The 6,205-nt window shown below is 42.1% G+C and overlaps 1 protein-coding gene across 4 annotated transcripts in view; it reads right to left on the reverse strand.

Annotated features, from left to right (window-relative positions):
• The window catches only part of JAK1 (Janus kinase 1), a 234,518-nt gene that overhangs the window by 139,924 nt on the left and 88,389 nt on the right, over positions 1 to 6,205 (reverse strand). The gene's annotated exons all lie outside the window — the stretch shown is intronic.

Genomic DNA, 6,205 nt, shown 5'->3' on the forward strand with positions numbered 1-6,205 from the left:
AAGGAAGAAAGGAAGAAAAAGAAAGAAAGAAAGAAAAAGAAAGAAAGAAAGGAAAAGAAAGAAAGAAAGGAAAAGAAAGAAAGAAAGAAGGAGAAAGAAAGAGAGAAAGAAAGACGGAAGGAAGGAAAGAAAGAAAGGGCGAGAAAGAAAGAGAGAGAAAGGAAGGAAGGGAGGGAAGGAGGGAGGGGAGGGGAAGGGAAGGGAAAGGAAGAGAACAAAAGAAAAGAAAAGAAAGATTTAAGGAATATAAATATTGGGGAGGAGGGCATAAACATTCTATTTTTTTAATCTATTATATTTTATACAGCTAAATATTTTACACATTCAGTATTTAAACCTATAAGATTTCAATGGATGTTCTGAAGTGTCAAAATTGCTTTTTTTAAAATCAAACTGTCATTTTCTATTGAAAATATAGTATTAAGTAAATGTTCACCTTTTAACAATCCCTTCCCTCGTCTCACTTTGCAAAAAAAAAAAAAAAAAAAAGGAAAAGGAAAATCAAATGTTGAACCTCTTACAACCTACCGCTGAAATAAACTTTGACACTGACTGAGCAGATCTTTCTCTACATGCTCACTAACCCATTGAATCAGCTTCCATCTAAGGTGGGGTGTGATTAGACTTACAGGAAGGAGGCCCTTTTCTATTGCTTAGTACCATGCAAACAGTAGGCTGTCTAAAATACTTATTCATAATGACAGAAAGTAAGAAAAAAATCGGATTAAATATAATGGGAAGGAAAGGGAATATATATATTTTTCCTTAAAGGTATCATGCATGACATATAATAAAAATTCAATAGATATTTGCTAAAGCTATAATTCAGTAAAGAAAAAAGATGAAAAGCAAATGAATCATGTATGTATATATAATTATAAATGTCCACATTATGTTTTTAGACTGAAAATTTTCAGTTAATTGTCCAAAGTAGAACGTTGGTAACTCTGTCATAAATTCAATACATAGGTATCACACATTTGGTATGGGTATCACACATTTGGTATTGTCCTAAAATCATTGCTTGAGAAAAAAACTTGATTCTGATTTGGAGAACTTCCTCCCCCAACTTCTGTAGAACATCAAGTTTATCTTCCTCAGATACTTCAACTCTCATAAGATGTCAACTTCACTCTCAGTCTAACTGCCCCACAGATGAGTAGTTAAGGTAACTTTGGAGTAATACCAACTTAAGTTTAAATTTCAGCTCAGCTCTGCCACTTACTAGTGTATATCCCAGGCAAGTTCCTAAATTAATCCTGTTTCCTTATACATAAAATTGCAATCATACTACCCAGCCCATTTACCTCAGTAAATGATTATGAAAGTTAGATAAGAAGGTATATATAAACTAACCATCCCTACCATAGTATGGCACATGGATCTGCCTTTAACTAGCTAGCAGCTAGCTGGAGAACATACTTAATTCAGGTCCATCTGGAAACTCATCAGACAGGATTAGCCAGGCAAGAGATGTATTGAGGAAAATGCCTGTGAAGGATCAAGGGAGGGGAAGCAGAAGAAAGCGAGGAAAGCCTCCAGATCATGCTGCAGCTCTGACATCTGTGGAAGAAGAGAGGGAAAAAGAGACGATGGGGATAGAGAGTCAAAGACTATATAGCACAGTTCCAAAAGAGCCTTGGTTAGGCCAATCAGAGTCCTTGAGCCAAAGTGGCCACGGCTCACGGGAATTAGCCAGCATTCTCTTTTCTTTTTTTGTTTTGTTTTGTTTTTGTTTGTTTGTTTTGTTTTGTTTTTTGTTTTTTGTTTTTTTGAGATGGAGTTTCACCCTTATTGCCCAGGCTGGAGTGCAATGATGCAATCTCGGCCCACTGCAACCTCTGCCTCCCAGGTTCAAGCAATTCTCCTGCCTCAGTCTCACAAGTAGCTGGGATTACAAGCATGTGCCACCATGCCCAGCTAATTTTGTATAGTTTTTTTTTTTTCCTTTTAGAATCAGGGATCTCACTACATTGCCCGGGCTGGAGTGGAGTGGCTATTCACAGGAGTGATCATAGTATACTACAGCCTTGAACTCCTGGCCTCAGGTGATCAGCCTTAGCCTCCTCTGTAGCTAGGACTATAGGCATGCACCACTGCACCCCAAAAGAACTGACCAGCTTTCATATACCTGCCATGCTCTGTCATTGGTATGGAAAGCCCAGCTCTGTGCAAACATGGTGGTGTGTGCACAGAGGCAACAGCTGGGGCTGTCAGTCAGTCATGCTCCCACAGCAGGAGATCTGAGCAGTGCACTTTCATGGTGGCCACATTTCACACACTGGACTGCACAGATCCACCTCTGCATGCATGCTCAGGGAGCAGCCTCTCCACAAATCCATGGACTGCTCTTCCTGAAGGGAAGCTTAGAAGTGATAGGTTAATAGGACAAACTATGGCCAGTTCTCAGGCCCAACCTGGTTCACATCCTGTCCCTTTTGCATGGCCCATTTCCCTCACCCTTAGCTATCACCTCAGCAAGTCCTGATGTTTTTTTGAGAAATGTTATGTGGTGACGTGACCCAAATCTTCATTCCTTGTGGATCTGAGCCCTTTGCAGTCATACCCTTCTCAGGCCAGGAGCACTATACACATCCAACCCTAATTCCAGTGAGTCAAGGGAGTACCAGGAAACGCCCAAGGAGATCTGGGTTCCACACATCTTCCTCCCTAGCGCCATCCACTTCCTCGGGCTGATGAGGATGGATTCCCCCTGTCACGATGGTGACTCTTTTCTCCTGCTGGTCCCTGGAGACAAGGAATTCAAAGTGCCCTGGTGGCAGCAGTAATTTGTAATACAATGGGACCTTTGTTGTGTCCCCTGGCAAGAGTACACTGAGTTTGGGGACCAGGATCTTTACCACTTGATTAACACAGAGTTTTGGGGACTGGAAGGACAGTTCCCATTGGGTCACTGGGAGTGATGGTAAGTGGGACCACGCCTACTTTGACCCCTTTGATCCTAGATCCATTTATTCTTTTTATTGTGGACACAGTGCCATATAGAGGTCTCTGATTCAATGCATATCCTGTAGAATGTCATCCCAGCCTATTAGAGGGTTGCCTCCTATCGCTGCAGGTGTGCTTTTCCAAGGCCATTTCCACACTCTGTGAAGTCAGCTCCTCTGGGTGGTGTTATGTATGACCTGTGGACCCCACAGTCATGGACCCATGCATTTTGAGATTTTATGTAGCATCTTTTTTGGCTACATATTTGCCTCTAAAGAACACTATGCACTATTAACCGTCTTTGCAATTCCTGCAGATCAAGCCACCTTGGCTGCTCCTCTGACCTTGTTGGTTATTATGGTAATTGTGACCTCATGGCTTCTGGGAGTTACACACTTCCAATTGGTCTCCATTCCTTGGCCAGAGTCCCCATCATACACATGGCTGTTAAGGAGCTCAGCTCTGGGATCACTCTCCTACTTTCAGCAATGCCCTGCAGAGGAGGCTATTATTATACTTCTTAGTGACGCCAATGTCTCTCTCAACAGTGTATTCTTAATGGTCTTAGTGAATAGCGTGTTCTTTGGGCCTCACATGGAACATAATCCTCAGTGGGTCTTCTGGTCTTACATGATATTTCCATCCTAACATGCCCCTTCCCTCAGCCTTTTAATCCTTCCTATACCTTCTGCCAGGGCAACTTGGGCTTCTCCACTTTACCCAGGTTAACAACCACCTTTTCCAGGCTTCTAAGAGCCACCCCACGATAAGTTTACCCTCATTCTCTAGGGTCCTTGCTGGGGTATTAGATCGTGTGTCTTGAAAGAGTGCCCTTAAGTCTGAGCTCCAGAAATAGCTATACTTCTCTTGGGCAATGTTCCTTATCACTTACATACCTGATTGTATTTCTCCCTTTGATCTGATTGCTAAGAAGTTCAGAATCAAATTTTAATCATACATCTATTACATATACAGGATACAGATACATAGAAACTTATAACATGTACTTTCTATATTGTCCTCACAACAGCTTCATCTTGTTTGTTTGTTTGTTTGTTTGTTTGTTGAGATAGGATCTCCCTCTGTCGCCCAAGCTGGAGTGTAGTGGCACAACCACAGCTCACTCCAGCCTTGACCTCCTGGCTCAGGCCATCCTCCCACCTCAGCCTCCCAAGTAGCTATGACTGCAAGTGCATGCCACCACACCCAGCTAAATTTTGTTTCATTTTTTGTAGAGATGAGGTCTTGCTATGTTGCCTAGGCTGGTCTCGAACCCCTGGGCTCAAGCAGTCCTCCTGTCTCAGCATCCCAAAGTACTGGGATTACAGGCATGAGCCACTGCACCCAGCCATCTTTTTTTTTTTTTTTAGATGGAGTCTTGCTCTGTGGAGCAATCTTGGCTCACTGCAAGCTCTGCCTCCTGGGTTCCTGCCATTCTCCTGCCTCAGCCTCCCGACTAGGTGGGACTACAGGCATCCACCACCATGCCCGGCTAATTTTTTGTGTTTTTAATAGAGACGGGGGTTTCACCGTGTTAGCAAGGATGGTCTCAATCTCCTGACCTCATGATCTACACGTCTTGGCCTCCCAAAGTGCTGGGATTACAGGCGTGAGCCACCGCGCCTGACCCTAATTTTTAACTTATTTTCACTTCATACTGAATCTCTTACTTGCATTTGTTGAACACACTATCTGCCCAGCACTGTGCTAAGTACATATGTGTTATCTCATTTAATCCTGGCTTCCCTACTGTGGGATCTTGAGCAAGATACTGAATTTCCATAAGCTTTAATTTCATCGTCATCGGTAAGTAAGGATGATACTAATGTCCACTTTGTAGAATTATAATGAGGATTAACGATGGTAGTTAATGTCAGTAGTTATTAAAATATACTTGGCTGGACGTGGTGGCTCACGCCTGTAACCCCAACACTTTGGGAGGCTGAGGCAGGCAGATCATGAGGTCAAGAGATTGAGACCATCCTGGCCAACGTGGTGAAACCCCGTCTCTACTAAAAATACAAAAATTAGCTGGGCGTGGTGGTGCGCGCCTGTAGTCCCAGCTACTCAAGAGGCTGAGGCAGGAGAATTGCTTGAACTCAAGAGGCACACGTTGCAGTGAGCCGAGATCACACCACTGCACTCCAGCCTGGGCAGCAGAGCAAGACTACATCTCAAAAATAAAACAAACAAAGAAAAAAACACTCAAATCTTTTTGCCTAAAACAACTCAAAATATCTGATTTAATTATTGTATAGGATGTCAATGTAGTAATGTCCAGAAAGATAAACATTAGTTTATTATAAAAACACTTAACATACAGAGCAGAATAAGTGTTACTAATCTTATTTATTATGGCTTTAATCTAATTGAAGGCTTTCGTGGTTCCTATAATTAACGGCAACATAACAGAATCAATAAAGCTTAAGACATAATGAATGTCCATATAGAACACTCTTTTATGGGGTTTTTCTTAAATAGGTAAATGAGATGATGGCCTCCTCTGAGGCCAGTGAGCCCAAGGATGCTTTACTTCAAAATCCATTCAGTTTTACAGGAATATCAGATTGCTCTGGGCTGACTTACTAGCCGTAATAACAAGGCTTATTCTACTCCTGGGATTTAGTATACTGTATTAATAATTTAAAAACCTTATAAGCAGATGCTATTCTGACAATCAAGGCCGGGGTGCTAGAAAGGCTGCTGGATCAGAAAGCAGGACACTTGCATGCTGGATGAGCTCTTTGATAGATTAAAAAAAAAAAAAAACTTAGGGTGGTCTTTTTACTGTCTCTGAGCTCAGATATCTCCTTAGTTTGGATCACATTATTTTATGATACCTATCAGCATCAAAATTCCGTGCATCTTTATTGTTTTAACTTTACTGTGTCCACGTACAGGTTATTGGCCACGAAATCATGTATGCATTTGACAAGTGGGATAACTGAAGTGTAAAGTTTAAATTACATTCCAAAAAGCAATAGGAAAATAAATTGTAGCTGAACAAGAACTGGCCAGGCACAGTGGCTCCTGCCGGTAATCCCAGCACTTTGGGAGGCCAAGGCAGGAGGATCACTTGAGGAGTTTAAGACCAGCCTGGGCAACATAGTGAGACCTCCTCTCTATAAAAAAAAATGAATAAATAAAAATTAGCCATGTACAATGGTGTGCAGCTATAGCTGCAACTACTTGGAAGCTGAGGTGGGAGGATTGCTTGACCCCAGGAGTTCGAGGCTGTAGTGAGCTATGCTCATGC

Source organism: Homo sapiens, chromosome 1, assembly GCF_000001405.40.
Source record: "Homo sapiens chromosome 1, GRCh38.p14 Primary Assembly".
NCBI lineage: Eukaryota > Metazoa > Chordata > Mammalia > Primates > Hominidae > Homo > Homo sapiens.